We start from the raw sequence: 24,856 nt of genomic DNA, 5'->3' as shown, positions 1-24,856 counted from the left end.
TAAACCATTGGGATTCTTTTCACATGGAAATAGCTTTTAGTTGTCCTGTTAATGTTTTTCACTGTCTCTCCTTTTTATAGAGTTAATATCACACTTCATGTATTTTGCAACCTGCTTTGTTCACCTAGCAATGTTATATGAACAGTTTTCCATGCCAAGTATTGTAAATATACATTTTATTCTTCTATGGCATTCCATTTTATATTTTATTCATTCCCTTAGAGTTGTTTTTAAACTGTTTATTATGAATAACCTCACAATAAACATTTATATATATAAAGATTTTACTATAATTCTGAATATTTTTTCATTAGGTTTTTTTTTTTCTTTTCTGCCTTCCAAATGAATTTCAAGCAGGAGCATATTATCAGACTTGCAATATCAGTGCCTAATGCTACCTAGGTAGAAATAATTCTGGGAATTTCTGCCTATATACTATTTAAATTGACTCTAGTGTATGCTGCCTTGTATTTATCTTTTTGGATGCCTACTCCCATTTAAATTTAATTTTTTGTATATATACAAATTTATTTCTGAAAAAAATTATGCAGCTTCTTTGAGAACAGCATATTTTCTTACTTTATTTTACAGACCTGAAAGTATAAAACAGATGTTTAATGAATTAAAATAAAGGGAAAACAAATATTTTCTTGATTTATCACTTTTCTTATGATGTTTTTAAAATTGCGACCATGTTTAACAGACAAAAAATTAGTATACATAGCATGTCCCTTGTGAATATGCTTGTGGGCATATGGGATATGATTATTGAAACTAGAGATTTAGACTGTCACACAAAATTAGGGATGCTTATTTTATGTCAGTGACATCTCTCTCATTATTATATCTATCTTCACTTACAAACGAACATAGTAAAATAGCTAAATATAATATATTCACTCTTATCTTCACATTTGAACATCCCACATAAAAAGAAGAGCTTCTGCTTTAGTGACCAAAATACTATTTCTCATAGTAATATAACTCAAGCCTATACCCGAGTCAAAGATGCAATGCAGGCTATTAAAGCCATGTTTTTCCAAAGTTTGTATAAAATTAATTTACCTGGAAATGTGAAACCTCAGAGAAAATAGCATAAACTGAAACTTAAATCATAAACAAACAAAAAATGTGCAAAAGGAGAATATATTTTCATTTCCGATTTGTAAATAACTCACATGTTAATAATGCCTGTATTGCTGCCTTCCCCTGGATTATTTCCAGTGAAGATTTAGTCTGGTTTAAATTAGATAGCCTAATGAGCACTATGTATAGTCTGGTTTAAATTACATAGCCTAATGATAGTATAACTACACTTTTTTTATTTGTTTGGAAAGTATAAGAGAATGTAACTACTTTGGAAATGTATGCTGGCAATTCTAACAGTAATAGATTCCTATAGCTCAGATGAGTTTTTTCCTCATAATTTGAGATTTTTTACATTTTTTTTCTGTGTCAACATAACCTCAATCCTAGTAAATATTTCATTTTAATATTTATCTCAAATATTGATCCTAAGCACCAATGGAACTGCCCCTAATTATCTCACCAATTATTAAGATAATCCAATCAGTTGATTTATGTGAATCTGTTTTCAGTTGTTACATCAGGCCAGATATATGTTCAGTATAATATTTTTTTCTTAAAAACAGGCTATAACTTACTTAGAATAAGCAATCCAAAACAAGCGTTTAAAAATATTTACAATATACCCTATTTACTAGTCTATTTATTAGATAATCTGGTCCTAAATTCTAGCCTGTCCATAAATATGATAATTTTAACATTTGCCATCTATTTCCTTCCCAGAAGTAATACTCTCAGCAGGCTCACCACTTCTGACATTTTCTTTCGTTTTACAGAGATAAGTGGCATCCTGGAAGCACCTTCTCTACTCCCCATTGCATTAGCATTCATAATATTAATTGCCAAAAATTACCAGCTGCAAGAAGTTTTATCTAACAAAGCTGCTCTATGGCTTTCTCAAGACAATTTAGTAGCATTTATGTCCCAAGCAAACACTTAGGTATGTAAATAAGAAGAAGCCCACCATATAATTAATATTTAAAAGGTAAAATGTCAGACTCAGCTAAGCAATTTTAAACATTCCTCATCCCCTCCCCCTTTGCTTTAACCACATGTTCTTCCTAGAGATGAGCTCTGGGATTTTACTGAGAAAGCTACAATTGATCTCAGCTAAGTGTTTTGCTATAAAGTGCCAACAATTACCCAGGCATGCAGTGCTGAATTCAGGTTTGGGAGTGAATATATTTAACTCTGAAACTTTTCTTGCTCATTTGAATACTTACTTCCACTGAAATAATGTATTTAACCAAAGAAAGTAAATTCCTTGAATTAACTTAGTACAACATGATATAAATCAGGGTCATGCAACTCAGAAGCTTTTGACAGGAAGAAACTCTTCACAATGTTATATATATTGATTAATCACCTGCCAATAAAAAGCCATATATTGCATTCATCTCAAAAGTACAACGAATTCAAATTACTTCTATTAACCAAGAGGTCTTCTTTATTCAGATGTGTTCGTGATTTGTGGGAGACATATCAATTTCTGTCACTCTTAAGGGAACTCACTGGAGTTAAAGAATCTCTTCCTTTAAATTAAGAAGATAATTTATAACAAGAAATAAAACATGTAGATATCTGAAATATTTGCTAATTATAAAAGTGGGGGCATTGTGATTTGCTTGGAATTCTAATTTCTAAATCAAAGTCCCAAGTTCCTTTTTGAAATACTATCTATCTAGCTCTCTTACCAAGTTAGGAAATTAAACAAAAGGGGACAGTGTTATTATGTAAATGGAAACAGCAACTTGGAACCAGAAAAAAATACAGAAAGAATAATTTGATAAAATCAACTCCTTCAAAAAAATACAACAAAAGTGTCTGTATATTGGCAAATGGCAACGAACTACACAGTGTGAGTAGGACTGAGCTATGACTAACAATAAAGCATTAATCACATATCCTAGGACTAGAATGTGAGAAAACAGAGCATTCGAATGGGAGCGCATCATAATTCCAAGACATACAAATAAATAAATGCAAATGATTTGCAAAAGTGAAGATGTGTGAGATATCTTGGACATTTCCAAAATATATTTCTTTAAATCTCTGCTTACACATAAACCTGTGCTATTTTATTCCATAATAAGATATTTTTGCTGTGTTGTTGTTTGTTTTAACACATTTCTTTACTTCAAAGTTAGTTTCTCAATTTTCTTAAGCATCATTCTCTTATTGTAGCAGGAAAATTATTCCAATGCAGCAGAAAGGCTTTCTCCTATGTTACAATATAGTCACAGGTTTATCTGACATTGTCAGAAAAGTAGCTGTAGCGTATAAGGAATTTTTCCAGAAATGTTAACTATGACTTAGTTTCTTCTCACCACCACATATTAACTATAAAACAATGTCTTGATTATGTGTAAATGTCTCCAAGATAATTTATACACACTATTAAACAGAATATTAAACCTAATGGTACTTTCAATGTTTAACTTTGATAATTTGCAAAATGCATTATTGGTCCACAGTATATTACTACTGAATATATCACATATTGATTTCTAAATGGACTCACTGCTTGCTTTAAAAAAAAAAAACAGAATTCTTGTATCTTCTACCTTATTTTCCTCTAAAGAATTATCAGTAATTTTTTCTTGTAACAAGCATTGAATCTGTCTTTAGCAGTCTCTAACTCAATTCAAATTTCTTGATTGTAAATTAAGAGTTAAAAACACAAATTGTTAGACGTATTTGTCAATTAAAGAGGATGTGAGGGCGATCCGGCTGTGACATCTGTCACCCCATTGATCGCCAGGGTTGATTTGGCTTATCTGGCTGGCTAGGCAGCTGTCGGCTTCCTCCTTCACCATTCCAGGTGTGTCCCTCCGGAAGTTGTGTTCTGGGTAAGGGGACGACCATCCCCCATAGAGAAGGACCAGTATTTCGTCAAGGGTATATCAATAGCTGTACTCCCCTGCTAGAACCTCCAAACAAGCTCTCAAGAGTAAATAACCCCTAACTGCTGGTCTGAGGGGATTATGGATTTAAATGTGCACATGTGTGTATGTATAATATATGTACATAAAATGTGTGTGTGTGTGTACTTGTGTTGCCTTCTCAAGCACCTTTAAAATTAGCTAGTTGAAGCAAATTTCTGAAGTTCTAGTTAGCTGAGTTTGCTTCTTTATTAAGTAAGGTGTGATTGGATTTACTATTTCTTTTAGATGTAGCCTTTTAAGATTTCTTAGATAGGCCAGGCGCGGTGGCTCACACCTGTAATCCCAGCACTTTGGGAGGCCGAGGTGGGTAGATCACAAGGTCAAGAGATCGAGACCATCCTGGCCAACATGGTGAAACCCCGTCTCTACTTAAAATACAAAAAGTAGCTGGGCACGTGTCTGTAGTCCCAGCTACTCAGGAGGCTAAAGCAGGAGAATCACTTGAACCCAGGAGGCGGAGGTTGCAGTGTGCCAAGATGGTGCCACTGCACTCCAGCCTGGGCGACAGAGCAAGACTCCATCTCAAAAAAAAAAAAAAAATCAATCAATAAATAAAGGATTCTTAGATAATCAATAATAAATGAATGAAATGAATGGTGGTGGTTTCATTACAATCTTCAGTCTTGGCTAAGTCATCTATTTGGTCACCAATAGCCCAAATGAGGCATAAATAACCATACAGAACCACCTTAAGTATAGTAAATCCAGAGAAATTAAGATTATGCTTAAAAAAGTAAATGATCAAGAATAAGAAAACAAGCAACCTAATTAAGAATTTGGGGGAAAAGACTTCAACAGACAATTAACTAAAGAAAGTAATGGATGACAAAAAGTCATCAACATGATTAGATACAATGAAACGCTATTTAAAACCACACAGAATATTATTTGACCAAAGTATGTCATCGTCATCAAGTGATGCATCGAGATACAAATCAAGGTCATGCAAATTAGCTGCAGTTGGCAGGAAGGAAACTCTTCCTAATTTGATAATTATTCATCCATTACCTGCCACCCCCAGATAATATATATTTTACTCATTTCAAATTTAAATTTTTACTATTGCTATTAACTGAAATATTTTATTCATAAAAATTAAAATGACAATATCAAGTGCTGTTGAGCATGTGGAGCAATTGTAACACACACATATTACAGTGGGAATGAAAAAAGCTATAGCCTCTTTGGAAAATAGTATAGCAGTTTCTCATAAAGTTAATTCTTCACTTATCATATTACCAAACGACCCTACTTCTTTGTCCAAGAGAAATAAAAACCTTTATGCCACTGTTTATAGTATTACTCATAATTGCCAAAAATTGGAAACAATCCAAATATCCTTCAGCTAGTGAATAGATAAACTGTGAAACATGCATATAATGGAATACTACTTAACACTCAAAAGGTAAGAAATAAACATATATAGATATATATCACCCAGATGACAAACACAAAAGTTATCAACATGATTAGATATTAGGAAAGGCTATTTAAAACCACACAGCATATCATATATATATATATGATCATATATATCTCATATATGATCATTTATATATGATCATGTATATCTCATATATATATCAACACAGATAAATTGCTAATGCATTCTTCTGAATGAAAAAAGTCAGAGCCAAACGCTATACATTTATAATTCATTTTTATAATATTCTATAAAATGCAAACCCTAGGAATGGGGCTAAATAAATAGTTCTCAGGATTTAGAGAGGTGAGAGGAGTTGACCATGAGCAGACAACAGAAAGGAATTTGATGAGGGTGATGATGGAACTGTTCTGAATCTTGATTTTCATAGTAAATGTATGACTGTATGTATTTTTCAACATGAAGAAAACTGTATACAACAAAGCATAAATTTTATTGCTTGTAAATTTTTAAAAATTAAAAATGAAGAGATGAGAAATGCCTCTGTATCCAAAATAACAGCTATATAAAATGATATCAGAATATTTTAATAGATATTAGGCCTATCAAAATTTGTTCTTTGTGTTTTATTAGAAAAGGAGTGATACAAGGAGGGAGGCAAGGTTGTGAGGGCAGTTAAGAAAACAATAATTTTTCAAGGTCAAATATGTAATATTGAAACACACACATATTTTTGTGTATACACGTTTTCACATGTAAACAGGAAAACAGAGAACCAAGTGTAGATACAGATAACATACAGGTTTTCTTCCATTTGCCAACCTCAATAGTATGCCAGTGTCCAGGCTAAGGCAGCATGTTGAGTAGAATTACTACAATGATTGATTGCTGGTGCAAAGGAGAAGTAACAGCATACATATTTGCTATTTCTGTCTAAGGAGATTAGAGGGGTAGGTGAAATAAATTAATCCATCAGGGCAGCACAAGATAATAGAATTAGAAGATTTGATCCAACAGCAGAATCTTCCTTTTCCTAATATAAATTTGGAGACATAACTTCTCCCTAGTGAACCCGAATTCCACTCTAGTGGAATTAACAATTAAAAGAGAGGATTGTTTGTAAAAATCTATGAAATACTACAGAAATAATATTCCAGAGAACGCAATTTGGAAACTCTGCTGTAAAGTCATAAATGTTCAAGATGATACTTACTCTCACTGACACTACTAGAGCAGAAACCAACAAAGAATAAATACCAAGAAAACTGCTCTACATAGGTAACAGGAAGGAACAACATTTGTTGAAATATTAACTTTTAAAATTTAATGTGTTTCCAAATATATCTATAAATAAAAGCATCACTATTTACAATGACAGTGAATTTATTTTTATAATACTAGTAAATGATTTTAAATTTTGCTCATAATAAAAAGTTAGAATAGATGAGACCTTTTTGAAAAAAGGAATGTTCAGTAGGCAAACTGGAAAAGTTAAGGAATCAAGAAAACATAATGAAAATACAGGGAAAAGACTTGTATATGTAAGTCTATAAATAGCTGTCTATAAAACTGTCTATTCCCTGTCTATAAATAACTGCTGTCCCCCAATCATGCCATTTCTGCCTATTTCCTAACAGTGCATTTTGCACATGCCATTTCCTGTGCACCATGCTCTCTTCTCATTTATAGCATTTTAGGCATCACGTATAAATTGTACATGATCACATTTGTCAGAGTTTTAATGGTGTTTGCTCATCATTCCACCCACAAATCTACTGCAGAAACTATTATGTAATAGGTTTCTATTAAATATTTAATAAACTAATCAGTAAGCAAATTATATTTAAATCATTGATTCTATCATATTCCTACCAGAAACTATTGCAAGAGATAAGGTTTCATCGTTTATAAATGTTCTGGAGATCATGATAGTTTTGGAGCAGATCAGAAGGATTAGAAAGCAGATTTGGCAATAGGCCAAACATACTAAAGCAAGGACACACCTTTTAGGATAGCATCATCTTGAACTTAAACATTTTCTTCTTCATAGGAATCATACATAATCCTCTGTTACACAAGGTATTGAAATGTATTTACTCTCTACTTGTGAAACATGACTTTGCATTATGCATCACATTCGGATAGTTTCTCATTTAAATAATAAATAGCAGGCTTTGGATGGTCCCTATGAATGGCTGCTGTATCTAAAAGGAAAGCACTTGTCAAGGGTTTGGTGTTATCCTCTTTGTGTTTTTCAGGATTTGACATTCCATGCACCAAATCTATGTGCACTCTGCATTAGTCTACTCACCAACATTTTCACAAACTCCTGTGGGTAGACCTTTTTCTTTATCTCTCCATGCCATTTCCAAAATAATTAGCTTATCAATGGATTCAATGTTGGTATCAAACCTTTACTTCCCTAAAATTTTATTTATTGTATATGTATCCCTCAGGATGAATTCAAATGAACTAATAATCAGGATCTACCCCACCAATCCTTTATAAAAAGCTTTCCTAAAAATCTTCCTGGAAGAGATCCTCTTACCCTCTCCCAAAGAGAGAGTTCAATAGTTCTCTATGTGCTGTCCTAGAGCTTTTAGAAAAAAACTAAAGGCTGCACATGTGTCCCAGAACTTAAAGTATAATAATAATTACAATAATAATAGAAAAAAACTAAAGGCAAATCTATTATTCCTTCTACTTTTTAATGTTTCCTATATTTTTACATTTTATTTAGTGTAACTATATCACAATATAAAAATTAAATAAAAATTAGTGAAAACAAACCTACCACTTCATCACTCTTACAAATCAGCTATTTCAGTCGACTTATAATACTTGTTCGCATTTGAACATATTTTATGGTATTCAGTGAAAAATTAAAGTGTTGTATTTCTTGATTTATTAAATCCTAAGAATATTTCTGTGTTAAGATTTGTCTCATAGTGTTATATTTTACCCCATATTTATCAATTTTCCTTAGAGAGAATCGCATTTCAACAAAGGCAGTTTTGATGTGATGTTTGTGCTTTAATTACTTTACAACCTGTTTCCAGAGGTGATGATCTTAGGAAACTAATAGAATGTATTCTTAATCAATATTGACTTTTAAAACTTTGCATTTGTGTATTGAAATGAAGATTTTTAAGCACTAATATCGTAGGTCATTGATTATAATATGAAAATTTTATCACATCTTATTATTTCTGGAATTGTAGCGCACCTTCGAATTGGTGACATCTATAATTGCTGTTTTCTGCTCTTTGTTTATTATGATGTAGTTGCCATTGTCTGTACAAGAACAAATGAAACAGCAATACCATTGGCATTACAGAGTTCATTTCTGTGGCTAGGAAGAACATCTTGGATACAGTGAAGTATATGTTTAACCTTTAGACACTAAAGAGGTAAATGTTGGAGCGAATGGGAGTTTTGAATTACATGTGGTCACCTTTTCTCTTCAAGAAAAATAATATGATTATACCAATAGATGCAGAAGAAAATTAACACAATCCATCACTAATTTATAATAAAAACTATCAGAAAACTAAATAGAGATGGGAAATTTTTCAATCTAATAAGAGACAAATATGAAAATCCTACTGCTAAAACCACGCCTAATGGTGAGAAATGAGATGCTTTCCATCTAGTAAGATTAGGAACAAGTCAAGGATATTCTCTCTCATTACTCCCATTTAACATTGTAGTGGAATTCTTTTTTTAGTCAACAAGATGAGAAAAGGAAATAAACAGGTGTACAGATGGGATACAAAGAAATAAAATTGTCTTTGTTCACAAATTATGTGATTTTTCTATGTAAAAAACCCCAAAGAATAAATGACCAAAAATACCTCTTAGAAGTCTTAAGTAATTCTGCCAAGGTTGCAGGGTACAGAGTTAATATACAAAATTCCCTTGATTTTTTCAAATATAAAAGCAACAAACAATTGGAATTTGAAATTAGAAATCTAAAACTATTTACATTAGTACAACAAATGAAATACTTAGTATAAATTGAACAAAATATGTACAAGGTCATATAAGAAATCTCTGATGAGAGATACATTTTCATGGATAGAAAACTCAATATTGTCAAGATATCAATTCAGTTTTCTTTCATCTTGATCTATAGATTCAATTGTAACAAAAATCCCAGCAAGTTATTTTGTGGATATCAACAAACTAATACTAAAATGCATATGAAAAGGTAAAAGACCAAGAATAACCAACACAATACTGAAGGAAAAGAATAAAGTTTGAAGACTGACATCACCTAAGTTTAAGACTTACTGTAAAATTGCAATTAAAACAGTGTGGCATTGCCAAAAGAACAAATAGATCAATGGAATAGGATAGAGAGAGAGCCCAGAAATAGTCCCAGAAATGACATAAATATAGCCAACTAATCTTTGACAAAGGAGCAAAGACAATGAATGAGGCAAAGTGGCCTTTTTGACAAATGGCATTGTAACAACTGCACATCCACATGTAAAAAATGAATCTAGACACAGACATTACATCCTTCCTCAAGTTAACTCAAAATAAGTTACAGTCCTAAATGGAAAACATAAAACTATTAAACCATTAAAAGCTAATATAGGAGAAAACCTAGATGACCTAGAGTATAGCAATGGCATTTTACATGCAACACCAGAAGCATAATCCATAAAATTATTGATAAACTGACTTCATTATATTAAATAATTCTGCTCTGTGAAAGATATAATCAGGATAATAAGACAAGTCACAGACTGGTAGAAAATATTTCCAGAAGATACATCTGATAAAGAACAGTTACTCAACATACAAAGAGCTCTTTAAACTCAACAATAAGAAAACAACCCAAGTTAAAAATAAGCAAAAGAACTGAACAGACATGTTGCCAAATGGCAGTTTAGCACATGGAAAATAAAAAATTTAAAATATTCAACACCATATGTTACCAGGGGAGTGCAATTAATATCTTTCATTAATTAAAACAAGATACTACTACACACCTACTGGATGGCTAAAATATAAAACACTGACAACACCACATGCTGGCAAGAATATGGAGCAATAAAAACTCTCATTCATTTCTGATGCAAATGCAAAGCAGTAGAGCCACTTTGAAAGACAGTTTGACAATTTCTTAGAAAGTTAAACATATACTTATCATAGCATTCTGCAATCATTTTCCTTGGTATTTACCCACTTTAGTTGAAAGTTTTGTATACAACAATACCTGCACCTGGATGTTGAGAGCAGATTTATTCATTATTGCCAAGAGTTGCGTGTAACCAAGATGTGCTTCAATAAGTTAATGGTAAACACACTGTGATATATTCATAACATGGAATCTCATATATTGACTAAAAAGAAATGTGATATCATCAATGTATGAAGACACAGAGAAACCTTAAATGCATATTGCTATGTGAAAAAAAGCCTCTCTGAAAATGCTACATTCTTTATAATTCCAACTATTTGACATTCTGGAAAAGTCACAACTATAGTGACTGTAACAAAGATCACTGGTTGACAAGCGTTTGCGTGAGGAGAGGAAGGGATGAGTTGGTACAGCATAGGGAATTTTTAAGGCAGTGGAACTATTCTGTATGGCACTGTAAGGTTGAATTCTTGTCAATATATATATATGTCAAAACCCATAGAAAGTACACTATGAAGAGTGAACTCTGATGTAAATTTGGACTTTAGATAATAATAATTGAGTAATATCAATAACATCAATGTTGATCTATCAAATGTACATATTTGTGTTAATAAAAGGAGAAAATAGGAGTAGAGGAGTGAGAGTTTATGGCAACTTTCTATACTTTCTGCTTAATTTAGCTGTAAATCTAAACTGCTTTAAAACTGTAGTCTAATATTTTTTTAAAGACAGTGTTGCAAAATGGATAGAAAAACAGAGAAACAAACAAACAAACAAACAAAAAACAAGTATAGTTGTGGTGTAGCAAGCCCAGGGGAGGTATGGTGCAAGACGATGTTTAGTAGTTGGGATTACAGTCGTGTATGTTTAACAACGGGGCTACATTCTGAGAAATGTATCCTTGGGCAATTTTCTTGTTGTGTGATCATCATACAGTGTACATACAGAAACCTAGATGTTACAGCCTAGTATACATCTAGGCTATATGGTATAGCTTATTGCTCCTAGGCAACAAACTTGCACAACACGCTGCCCCACTGAATATTGTAGACAACTGTAACACAATGGTAAGTATTTGTGTATTTAAACATAGAAAAGTACAGTAAGATATGGTATAATTTTTTAAAGGTACACCTGTATAGGTCCCTTAAAAATTAAAGGATCTTGCAGGATTAGATGCTTTTCTGGGTGAGTCAATGACTGAGTGATGAGGGAATGTAAAGGCATAGGACATTACTGTACATTGCTAGTATAATTTACAAACACTGTGTGCAATTAGGCTGCACTTAATCTATTTAAAAAGCTCTTCTTAGATAAGAAATTAACTTTAGCTTACCGTAACTTCTTTTAACTTTATAAACTTTTTGTTTTATAAACATTTTTAAAGTTTTAGAAGTTTTTGAATTTTTATTTTTTTTTTTACTTTTTAAACTTTTTTATTAAAAACTAAGACACAAACACAAACATTAGCCTAGACCTACACAGGATCAGCATAATCAATATCACTTTCACCTCCACATCTTATTCCACTGGAAGGTCTTCAGTGGCAATAACATGCATGGAGCTGTAACCTCCTATAATAATGGAAGGAATACTTTCTCCAGGATGTGGCTGAAACTGTTTTACATTTAACTTATATGTAACATTAAGCTGTTTTACATTAACTTAAATGTAAACATGAGGTGTTTTACACAAAAAACTTCTTTTTATATAAGTAGAAGTACACTCTGCAATAATAATAAAAAGTATAGTGTAGTAAATACATTAAGCAGTAACATAGTTTAATATCATTTCAAGTATTCTGTATTGTACATAATTGTATGTGCTATACTTTCATATGACTGGTAGAAGAATAAGTTTGTTTACACCAGCATCATCGCAAACACATGAGTAATGCATTGCACTATGACATTGTGACATCTAGGTCATCATTATGCAATATAAATTTTTCAGCTCCATTATTATAATCTTATAGGACCACCATCATATATGTGGCCATCACAGACCAAAACATTGTTATGCAGCCCATAAGTATATATCTAATAAGCCTATGTACATGTCCAAAGAGTTTGTATTTTATCAAAATGTCATGGGAAGTCATTAAAATACAAGTGACGACATGATGGAATCACCCTAAGACAGACAGTGCTTTGGAGGATAAATTAGGTGGGAAGAGATTGATGGCAAGGGTGAGGATGGGCAAATACAGCATTAATGTAGCATAAAAAAGTTAAAACTAAGGCAAGGTAGAAAAGGTAGAGGAATCTTTATAGAAATTCAATGAAATGTAAGCTCTCTAAGCCATCTCATCTCTATCAATAAAATGAGAGTTCTATGTATTTCTTAAGGAGTAAGGAAGAACACCATGAACTGCTTTTAAGAACAAAGGTACAATCTCTGAAAAAAAAAAAAAAAGAAATAGCAAGTTTGATCCCAGCCTATAGGGACAAGGACTTGACAATGCACCCTGGATTCTAGACATAGATGCCTTAGCCTTTGGCCCTGTTCAGGGTCATAGAGAATAATAATAACGCAGAACATCAAAAAGAGAAAAAATAAAATCCTGTTACAATTACAGCAATAAATCAATAAAGCTACCACAAATGTGCAAGTGGGTAGTATTTAAGGGAGTACTTTTGCATAACTATCATTTGAAGGTTGACTTCAGCAGAAAAAGTTTTTGAAAAACCAAATCATGGCAAACTGAGAAGACATGAGTTCTTGGCCTAAGGACTTCATGTTTTAGAGCCCTCAAATTGAGCCTTTAGGTTAAAATCTGTTAACAGAGGGAGAAATCACTGTCAATTTTCATTTAAGATAAGTGGTCAAATTTATGTTATTTTTATCCATAGCAATAATTTTTATTTTTAAGCCATCTTGCACTCAATGTTTATATTAGATTGACTGTCCTTGACAATTTAAATAATACTGTAGAGAAGTTTCCAGTTTTAGATTGATCATTTTTGAATTCTTTACACATTTTGCAGGAGACTGCAGCAACCCTAATAGTCAGTGTTTTTCAATAAACTAGGAAGGCATCCAGGGAATTGGATTTTAGAATAATTGGAGCCCAAAGACCTCCAGTAAGGAAAAGAAGGGTGCATCTCAATGAACCTCATTTCCAGACAGAGACCTTGTAAGTCATATGAAGACATGTCATCTCAAACAATAAAGAAACTGGGAGAAATGGAGAGAAACTGGTGGGTGTAAGGGGAGATGAAGGCAGACATCGTATATGTCAAAGGTGAAAGAGTTAAAGTTTGGCAGAGGGCAGTCACTCACACCTGTAATCCCAGTGCTTTGGGAGGCTGAGGTGGGAGGACTGGGAGCCCAGGAGTTAAAAAGCAGCCTGGGCAATACAGCAAGACCTTGTCTTTATCAAATATATATATATATATATATATATATATATATATATTATATATAAATATATATATATTTTATAAATATATAATATATATTATATATATATATCTGGGTGTTGTGTTTTATGCCTGTAATTTCAGCTACTTGGGAGGGTGAGGCAGGAGGATTGCTTGAGCCTAGGAGTTTAAGGCTTCAGTGAGCTATGATCTTGCCAGTGCACTCCAGCCCCAACAACAAAGGGAGACACTGTCTCTTAACAAACAAACAACAACAACAAAAATAGTTAAAGTTTACTTAGATAATCCTCATAAGAACTTGATGAAGGCATTATTTTGTTATTCCTGTTATATTTTGCTGAAGGGATAATTAAGGCATAGAGTTAAGGATTCTATCCAAAGTCAAACAGATAGTAAAAGATAAAGCTGAGATAAAAACAATTTAAAAAACTAGTTAATTTATTAACTCATCAGATATTAGCCCAAAGTGAATAAACAGGTGTATAAACAGTACAGTTTTTTACTTTCAGAATATCAAAGGAAATGCCCATCGTTGCTGCATGTATGATGACAGCTATCGAAAGTTATTTCTCTGGTTGTGTCACTGAACAGTCGCTGCCTAGAGGAAATGGAGTAACCTCTACTGGAGGTCATTCTGATGAAGGGTTTTGGAAATCAGAACTTTAGCCAAACTACTGAAGTGAGGATTGCAGATAGAAATGAATGTGTTCTGGTAGTTTGGTTTCACTCTTTGAAGTAAGTTGATAACACATTTCTTTGACAGGAAACCTACATGTTCATAAAGTATGAAGGCAGGATTTCTTTTCAATTCAACTGCTTTCAGAGGCAATGGAGATATTGCAATTGAACTAAAATATGCTGTTAAAGTCAGTCTAATGATTCAATTTGTACAGCTTTTGATAATAGATTTTCAGGTCAAATGAAGATAGAATGAAGGAAGCAGTACACAGAAGAACTGTCTCAATTTAAGTTTAATATGACAGTGTACAGATGGAAAAACTGAATTATCATTAAAAACATAGAAAATATGGGGAACAAAATATATGGATGCAATACATCTGTATATGTGCATGTATAATATAGGCAGAAAGAAATTATGGCCTTTGTTAAAAGTATGATTTTCAAATTACAACCACATTGGTTTAGGAAAAATTAAAATTAACTCTTGAGTATCCATGAATTCAAATAAAATTATATAATAAAAGCTATAACACCAATTAATACAAATATGTATTTAAAATTAAAAATTGTCTGACATTAATCTACATATTTTACATACGTTATCACACTGAAGCAACAGCAAAATCCTATGAGGTCAATACTTATCAAGTTACTTTTCTTACTAGAGAAAATGTGTGACATAATGAATAAGAGTGAACTCCTGAAATTCAAATCCCCATTCCTCTGCTAATTAGTTATATAAACTTGGGCAAGTCACCATTTCTTTATCTACAAATGGACTCCCATTGTAGTCATACTTAGCACATCAGCTTGCTGGAACGTTTAAATGAGAAGTCATAGGAGCTCTTTAGGCTCTAGGGTCTGGCCCAAGTAAATGCCTGATGAAAATGAGCTTTTTACTCAACGTCATCATTAATAGAGGCAGAAGTGACAAAAAAGAAACTTGTGTAATATCACAGCATTGGAAAGTAACAAAGCTGAGATACTGATGTCTAGAGAAACAGCATATGATCTCTGAAGTGTCATATACAAACATTAAAATGTGTTTTTATCCCGTTCTGATTATCATTCAAAAATCTTCTCAACATCAGTAACTACTTTAATAAATGAATAGTCAATCTAGTAGATTAATATTAAGCAGTTTTTAAAATAAACATTAAGGATCAAATCAAGCCAATTTACCCCTTCCTCAAAATACTTTTCTCGTTTACGTAGTCTATAAAACACACACAAAAAAACAAAACTGTTCTGACGTCTGAAAACTATGATGAAATCATTTGGTTTATACAAAATTGATCTCCAAATTACTGTCCAAACTCCTTCCTTTTCTTTAAAACTGAACTTCAGGGAGGAGCCAAGATGGCCAAATAGGAACAGCTCCAGTCTACAGCTCCTAGCATGAGCGACACAGAAGAGGGGTGATTTCTGCATTTCCATCTGAGGTACTGGGTTCATCTTACTAGGGAGTGCCAGACAGTGGGCGCAGGTCAGTGGGTGTGTGCACCGTGCAAGAGCCAAAGCACGGCGAGGCATTGCCTCACTCGGGAAGCACAAGGGGTCAGGGAGTTCCCTTTCCTAGTCAAAGAAAGGGGTGACAGACGGCACCTGGAAAATCGGGTCACTCCCACCCGAATACTGCACTTTTCTGACGGGCTTAAAAAACGGCGCACCAGGAGATTATATCCCGCACCTGGCTCGGAGGGTCCTACGCCCACGGAGTCTCGCTGATTGCTAGCACAGCAGTCTGAGATCAAACTGCAAGGCAGCAGCGAGGCTGGGGGAGGGGTGCCCGCCATTTCCCAGGCTTGCTTAGGTAAACAAAGCAGCCGGGAAGCTAGAACTGGGTGGAGCCCAACACAGCTCAAGGAGGCCTGCCTACCTCTGTAGGCTCCACCTCTGGGGGCAGGGCACAGACAAACAAAAAGACAGCAGTAACCTCTGCAGACTTAAATGTCCCTGTCTGACAGCTTTGAAGAGAGCAGTGGTTCTCCCAGCATGCAGCCAGAGATCTGAGAATGGGCAGATTGCCTCCTCAAGTGGGTCCCTGACCCCTGACCCCTAAGCAGCCTAACTGGGAGGCACCCCCCAGCAGGGGCAGACTGACACTTCACATGGCCGGGTACTCCAACAGACCTGCAGCTGAGGGTCCTGTCTGTTAGAAGGAAAACTAACAAACAGAAAGGACATCCACACAAAATCCCATCTGTACATCACCATCATCAAAGACCAAAAGTAGATAAAACCACAAAGATGGGGAAAAAACAGAGCAGAAAAACTGGAAACTCTAAAAAGCAGAGCACCTCTCCTCCTCCAAAGGAACACAGTTCCTCACCAGCAACGGAACAAAGCTGGATGGAGAATGACTTTGACGAACTGAGAGAAGGAGGCTTCAGACAATCAAATTACTCCAAGATATGGGAGGACATTCAAACCAAAGGCAAAGAAGTTGAAAACTTTGAAAAGAATTTAGAAGAATGTATAACTAGAATAACCAATACAGAGAAGTGCTTAAAGGAGCTGATGGAGCTGAAAACCAAGGCTCGAGAACTACGTGAAGAATGCAGAAGCCTCAGGAGCCGATGTGATCAACTGGAAGAAAGGGTATCAGTGATGGAAGATGAAATGAATGAAATGAAGCGAGAAGGGAAGTTTAGAGAAAAAAGAATAAAAAGAAATGAGCAAAGCCTCCAAGAAATATGGGACTATGTGAAAAGACCAAATCTACGTCTGATTGGTGTACCTGAAAGTGACGGGGAGAATGGAACCAAGGTGGAAAACACTCTGCAGGATATTATCCAGGAGAACTTCCCCAATCTAGCAAGGCAGGCCAACATTCAGATTCAGAAAATACAGAGAATGCCACAAAGATACTCCTCGAGAAGAGCAACTCCAAGACACATAATTGTCAGATTCACCAAAGTTGAAATGAAGGAAAAAATGTTAAGGGCAGCCAGAGACAAAGGTCGGGTTACCCTCAAAGGGAAGCCCATCAGACTAACAGTGGATCTCTCGGGAGAAACTCTACAAGCCAGAAGAGAGTGGGGGCCAATATTCAACGTTCTTAAAGAAAAGAATTTTCAACCCAGAATTTCATATCCAGCCAAACTAAGCTTCATAAGTGAAGGAGAAATAAAATCCTTTACAGACAAGCAAATGCTGACAGATTTTGTCACCACCAGGCCTGCCCTAAAAGAGCTCCTGAAGGAAGCGCTAAACATGGTAAGGAACAACCGTTACCAGCCGCTGCAAAACCATGCCAAAATGTAAAGACCATCGAGACTAGGAAGAAACTGCATCAACATCAACTAACGAGCAAAATAACCAGCTAACATAATGACAGGATCAAATTCACACATAACAATATTAACTTTAAATGTAAATGGACTAAATGCTCCAATTAAAAGACACAGACTGGCCAATTGGATAAAGAGTTAAGACCCATCAGTGTGCTGTATTCAGGAAACCCATCTCATGTGCAGAGACACACATAGGCTCAAAATAAAGGGATGGAGGAAGATCTACCAAGCAAATGGAAAACAAAAAAAGGCAGGGGTTGCAATCCCAGTCTCTGATAAAACAGACTTTAAACCAACAAAGATCAAAAGAGACAAAGAAGGCCATTACATAATGGTAAAGGGATCAATTCAACAAGAAGAGCTAACTATCCTAAATATATATGCACCCAATACAGGAGCACCCAGATTCATAAAGCAAGTCCTGAGTGACCTACAAAGAGACTTAGACTCCCACACATTAATAATGGGAGACTTTAACACCCCACTGTCAACATTAGACAGATCAACCAGACAGAAAGTCAACAAGGATACCCAGGAATTGAACTCAGCTCTGCACCAAGCGGACCTAATAGACATCTACAGAACTCTCCACCCCAAATCAACAGAATATGCATTTTTTTCAGCACCACACCACACCTATTCCAAAATTGACCACATACTTGGAAGTAAAGCTCTCCTCAGCAAACGTAAAAGAACAGAAATTATAACAAACTATCTCTCAGACCACAGTGCAATCAAACTAGAACTTAGGATTAAGAATCTCACTCAAAACCACTCAACTACGTGGAAACTGAACAACCTGCTCCTGAATGACTACTGGGTACATAACGAAATGAAGGCAGAAATAGAGATGTTCTTTGAAACCAACAAGAACAAAGACACAACATACAAGAATCTCTGGGACACATTCAAAGCAGTGTGTAGAGGGAAATTTATAGCACTAAATGCCCACAAGAGAAAGCAGGAAAGATCCAAAATTGACACCCTAACATCACAATTATAAGAACTAGAAAAGCAAGAGCAAACACATTCAAAAGCTAGCAGAAGGCAAGAAATAACTAAAATCAGAGCAGAACTGAAGGAAATAGAGACACAAAAAACCCTTCAAAAAATTAATGAATCCAGGAGCTGGTTTTTTGAAAGGATCAACAAAATTGATAGACCGCTAGCAAGACTAATAAAGAAAAAAAGAGAGAAGAATCAAATAGATGCAATAAAAAATGATAAAGGGGATATCACCACCAATCCCACAGAAATACAAACTACCATCAGAGAATACTACAAACACCTCTACGCAAATAAACTAGAAAATCTAGAAGAAATGGATAAATTCCTCGACACATACTCTCCCAAGACTAAACCAGGAAGAAGTTGAATCTCTGAATAGACCAATAACAGGATCTGAAATTGTGGCAATAATCAATAGCTTACCAACCAAAAAGAGTCCAGGACCAGATGGATTCACAGCCGAATTCTACCAGAGGTACAAGGAGGAACTGGTACCATTCCTTCTGAAACTATTCCAATCAATAGAAAAAGAGGGAATCTTCCCTAACTCATTTTATGAGGCCAGCATCATCCTGATACCAAAGCCGGGCAGAGACACAATCAAAAAAGAGAATTTTAGATCAATATCCTTGATGAACATTGATGCAAATATCCTCAATAAAATACTGGCAAACCAAATGCAGCAGCACATCAAAAAGCTTATCCACCACGATCAAGTGGGCTTCATCCCTGGGATGCAAGGCTGGTTCAATATACGCAAATCAATAAATGTAATCCAGCATATAAACAGAACCAATGACAAAAACCACATGATTATCTCAATAGATGCAGAAAAGGCCTTTGACAAAATTCAACAACCCTTTATGCTAAAAACTCTCAATAAATTAGGTATTGATGGGACGTATTTCAAAATAATAAGAGCTATCTATGACAAACCCACAGCCAATATCATACTGAATGGGCAAAAACTGGAAGCATTCTCTTTGAAAACTGGCAGAAGACAGGGATGCCCTCTCTCACCACTCCTATTCAACATAGTGTTGGAAGTTCTGGCCAGGGCAATTAGGCAGAAGGAAAAAAAGGGTATTCAGTTAGGAAAAGAGGAAGTCAAATTGTCCCTGTTTGCAGATGATGACATGATTGTATATCTAGAAAACCCCATTGTTTCAGCCCAAAATCTCCTTAAGCTGATAAGCAACTTCAGCAAAGTCTCAGGACACAAAATCAATGTGCAAAAATCACAAGCATTCTTATACACCAAAAACAGACAAACAGAGAGCCAAATCATGAGTGAACTCCCATTCACAATTGCTTCAAAGAGAATAAAATACCTCGGAATCCAACTTACAAGGGATGTGAAGGACCTCTTCAAGGAGAACTACAAACCACTGCTCAATGAAATAAAAGAGGATACAAACAAATGGAAGAACATTCCATGCTCATGGGTAGGAATAATCAATATCGTGAAAATGGCCATACTGCCCAAGGTAATCTACAGACTCAATGGTATCCCCATCAAGCTACCAATGACTTTCTTCACAGAATTGGAAAAAACTACTTTAAAGTTCATATGGAACCAAAAAAGAGCCCGCATCACCAAGTCAATCCTAAGCCAAAAGAGCAAAGCTGGAGGCATCACACTACCTGACTTCAAACTATACTACAAGGCTACAGTAACCAAAACAGCATGGTACTGGTACCAAAACAGAGATATACATCAATGGAACAGAACAGAGCTCTGAGAAATAACGCCGCATATCTACAACTATCTGATCTTTGACAAACCTGAGAAAAACAAGCAATGGGGAAAGGATTCCCTATTTAATAAATGGTGCTGGGAAAACTGGCTAGCCATATGTAGAAAGCTGAAACTGGATCCCTTCCTTACACCTTATACAAAAATTAATTCAAGATGGATTAAAGACTTAAACGTTAGACTTAAAACCATAAAAACCCTAGAAGAAAACCTAGGCATTACCATTCAGGACATAGGCATGGGCAAGGACTTCATGTCTAAAACACCAAAAGCAATGGCAACAAAAGCCAAAATTGACAAATGGGATCTAATTAAACTAAAGAGCTTCTGTACAGCAAAAGAAACTACCATCAGAGTGAACAGGCAACCTACAAAATGGGAGAAAATTTTCGCAACCTACTCATCTGACAAAGGGCTAATATCCACAATCTACAATTAACTCAAGCAAATTTAAAAGAAAAAAACAAGCCCATCAAAAAGTGGGCAAAGGACATGAACAGACACTTCTCAAAAAGACATTTATGCAGCCAAAAAACACATGAAAAAATGCTCACCATCACTGGCCATCAGAGAAATGCAAATCAAAACCACAATGAGATACCATCTCACACCAGTTAGAATGGCAATCATTAAAAAGTCAGGAAACAACAGGTGCTGGAGAGGATGTGGAGAAATAGGAACACTTTTACACTGTTGGTGGGACTGTAAACTAGTTCAACCATTGTGGAAGTCAGTATGGCCATTTCTCAGGGATCTAGAGCTAGAAATACCATTTGACCTAGCCATCCCATTACTGGGTATATACCCAAAGGACTATAAATCATGCTGCTATAAAGACACATGCACACGTATGTTTATTGCAGCATTATTCACAATAGCAAAGACTTGGAACCAACCCAAATGTCCAACAATGATAGACTGGATTAAGAAAATGTGGCACATATACACCATGGAATACTATGCAGCCATAAAAATGATGAGTTCATGTCCTTTGTAGGGTCATGGATGAAATTGGAAATCATCATTCTCAGTAAACTATCGCAAGAACAACAAACCAAACACCACATATTCTCACTTATAGGTGGGAATTGAACAATGAGAACCCATGGACACAGGAAGGGGAACATCACGCTCTGGGGACTGTTGTGGGGTGGGGTGAGGGGGAGGGATAGCATTGGGAGATATACCTAATGCTAGATGACGAGTTAGTAGGTGCAGCGCACCAGCATGTCACATGTATACATATGTAACTAACCTGCACATTGTGCACATGTACCCTAAAACTTAAAGTATAATAAAACTGAACTTCAAAAATAAGATAATATTGACAATTCCAAATTCAATTTATTCCATAATTCATTTGCTTCATCCACATCCATCACATCTTGGTCTCCCTTGTATGTAGTTTATTGGACTAGCTCAATTGTCAAATTTTCTTGTGTTTGTTTTCAGTGGTTTCTGTCCCTGTTTTCTCTTTCCATATTTTCTTCCAAAAGAATGGTATCGGAGCCCAAGGTTTCAAATGTTACTTATATGCTGATAAATTTAAATGTGTATTTCAAGACCCCAAAACTCCCAGCTCCCAACCTCACTTCTGACTGAACACTAGATTTTCCTAGCTTAAAGTTTTACATACATTCTAGCTTAACTTGTTAATAATTGACTTCTGAGTATTTCCAAAATTCTGCTTTTTTATTTCTATTTTGCCATACACCTGTTCATTCATGTTACAAACCTTTAGAGTTACATTTAACTCATACGTATCTCTCATTCTTCATATGTAATTAATCTCTAAGTACCATTGATTCCTTCAAAGAATTATCACACAAATATGGCTTTACTGGTTCATTTAAACTAAAGCTGCCTGCATTCAGATTCAAAATAATAGCTTATTATTTTAATATTTTAAAATCTCTGATATTAGTGTTCTCCAGAGAAACAGAACTTATTGAATATATATTTGAGATTTTATATATATGTAATATAAATATATCTATATAAATATATAATATATGTCATATAAATATAGCTATATTTATATGTCATATAAATATAGCTATATAAATATATCATATATGTCATATAAATATATCTATATAAATATATAATATATGTCATATAAATATATCTATATAAATATATAATATATGTCATATAAATATATCTATATAAATATATATGTAATATACATATATCTATATAAAAATATAATATATGTAATATACATACATCTATATAAATATATAATATATGTAATATACATACAGCTATATAAATATATAATATATGTAATATACATACAGCTATATAAATATATATGTAATATACATACAGCTATATAAATATATAATATATGTAATATAAATATAGCTATATAAATATGTAATATATGTAATATAAATATAGCTATATAAATATGTAATATATGTAATATAAATATAGCTATATAAATATGTAATATATGTAATATAAATATAGCTATATAAATATGTAATATATTTATATGTATCTATATAAATATGTACTATATTTATATAAATATATAAAAATATATTATATATACTATATTTATATAAATATAGTATATATTATATAATATATAATATAATATATAATATATTATATTTATATAAATATATATTTATATTAATATATTATATATTTATACAAAGATAGTATATTTTTATAAATATATATTTATATTAATATATTATATATTTATATAAATATCTTTATATCACATATGTTATATATATAGATATATAAATATATATTTATATTTTTATAAATATATGGATATATAATATATAAAAATATATAAATATATGGATATATAAAATATATGGATAAATGGATAAATATATGGATATATAAAAATATATATGGAGAGTATATACATATATATGAATTATATACATATATATATGAATATAAAACTGTTAATACCTTTCAGGAACACCCTCACAGAAACATAAAGAAATAGTGTGCTTTACTAGATAGCTGGGAATTCCTTGGCCTAGCCAAGTTGACACAACAAATAATCATCACAAGTCTTTACTGTGCTCAAATTTCAATGTGTGTGGCAGAGTTATCCATGAAGAAACTAAACGTGCCACACATCTACCTGGACACATATGTTGTATTCCCTACTGACTGAAGTATTAACCACAAATACATCACCTTGTCATATTGAAAAATATGCCATCAGAATTAGTCATAGTTAATAACTGAAAATGAGAACTGTGTTCACATCCCAGTTTTGTCACTTACTAGGTATAAATTTATTCAATCTTTCAATTCTGTTTTTTAATTTTAATTGGTCACCTATCCCGTAAAATTAAAGGTATAATGCAAATGAAAAGGATAACCTGGTTATAGGCAATTAAAATATACATAAATAAGTTAGAATTTCTATGACTTTGTTACTATATCACACATTAGGGGATTATTAGATTTTCACTAGATTTGGAAGTAAATGTTTGATTTAAAATAGAGTCTACATTCTGGGTTTTAAGTTTACTGAAGGCTTTGGGGAACACTCAAAGTAAATAATTATTCGGAACAACTGAAACTGGATAAAATAAAATGCCCATGACACGGTTGATGGATAGAAACATGCTATCTGGTACAATGTTTTGGATGGAGAACAAACCGAAGCAAACCAAAACAATGCAAAGAAGACTCTGACCTTCAGAAACTGATTCATAATAGTTACCTTTTACATGGAGAACTATACATAGATGCCCTGGGATGAAGAGGAGCAGTTCTCCCTTACAATTTTAGGCCAGCTAATGCCCAACCAGTGTTAGAAATGTGCTGTTTGATACTGTAAACTTTGGTCTCTGGGGACAGCCTGCCTAAGATGGCATCCTGACTGCGCACCTTACTAACTATGCAATCTTGGGCCTTTCTGTTTCTTCATCTGTAAGTGGAAATAATAATATCTCCCATTTCATAGAGACGTAAAAATTAAGTTAGCTTGTTTATGCAGGATCCTTTTAAAGGCAGGCGGATCACGAGGTCAGGAAATCGAGACCATCCTGGCTAACACGGTGAAACCCCGTCTCTATTAAAAATATAAAAAATTAGCCAGGCGTGGTGGCGGGCGCCTGTAGTCCCAGCTACTCGGGAGGCTGAGGCAGGAGAATGGCGTGAACCCGGC

General features: G+C 34.0%; 1 pseudogene, besides 2 other annotated features; it reads left to right on the top strand.

Annotated features, from left to right (window-relative positions):
* Positions 3,798 to 4,035, top strand: RN7SKP120 (RN7SK pseudogene 120; annotated as a pseudogene).
* Positions 15,862 to 16,418: an enhancer, noted in NCBI's record as "NANOG-H3K27ac-H3K4me1 hESC enhancer chr9:25076529-25077085 (GRCh37/hg19 assembly coordinates)". NCBI's record gives its function as "activates a minimal SCP1, AML or CMV promoter by ChIP-STARR-seq in naive and primed H9 embryonic stem cells {active_cell/tissue: H9 hESC(naive and primed)}" and the evidence as "EXISTENCE:reporter gene assay evidence [ECO:0000049][PMID:30033119]".
* Positions 16,419 to 16,975: an enhancer, noted in NCBI's record as "NANOG-H3K27ac-H3K4me1 hESC enhancer chr9:25075972-25076528 (GRCh37/hg19 assembly coordinates)". NCBI's record gives its function as "activates a minimal SCP1, AML or CMV promoter by ChIP-STARR-seq in primed H9 embryonic stem cells {active_cell/tissue: H9 hESC(primed)}" and the evidence as "EXISTENCE:reporter gene assay evidence [ECO:0000049][PMID:30033119]".

The sequence above is a fragment of the Homo sapiens genome, chromosome 9, assembly GCF_000001405.40.
Source record: "Homo sapiens chromosome 9, GRCh38.p14 Primary Assembly".
NCBI classification, from domain to species: domain Eukaryota; kingdom Metazoa; phylum Chordata; class Mammalia; order Primates; family Hominidae; genus Homo; species Homo sapiens.
Note: the sequence above shows the minus strand (reverse complement) of the source record. Positions and strands in the feature narration are given on the sequence as shown.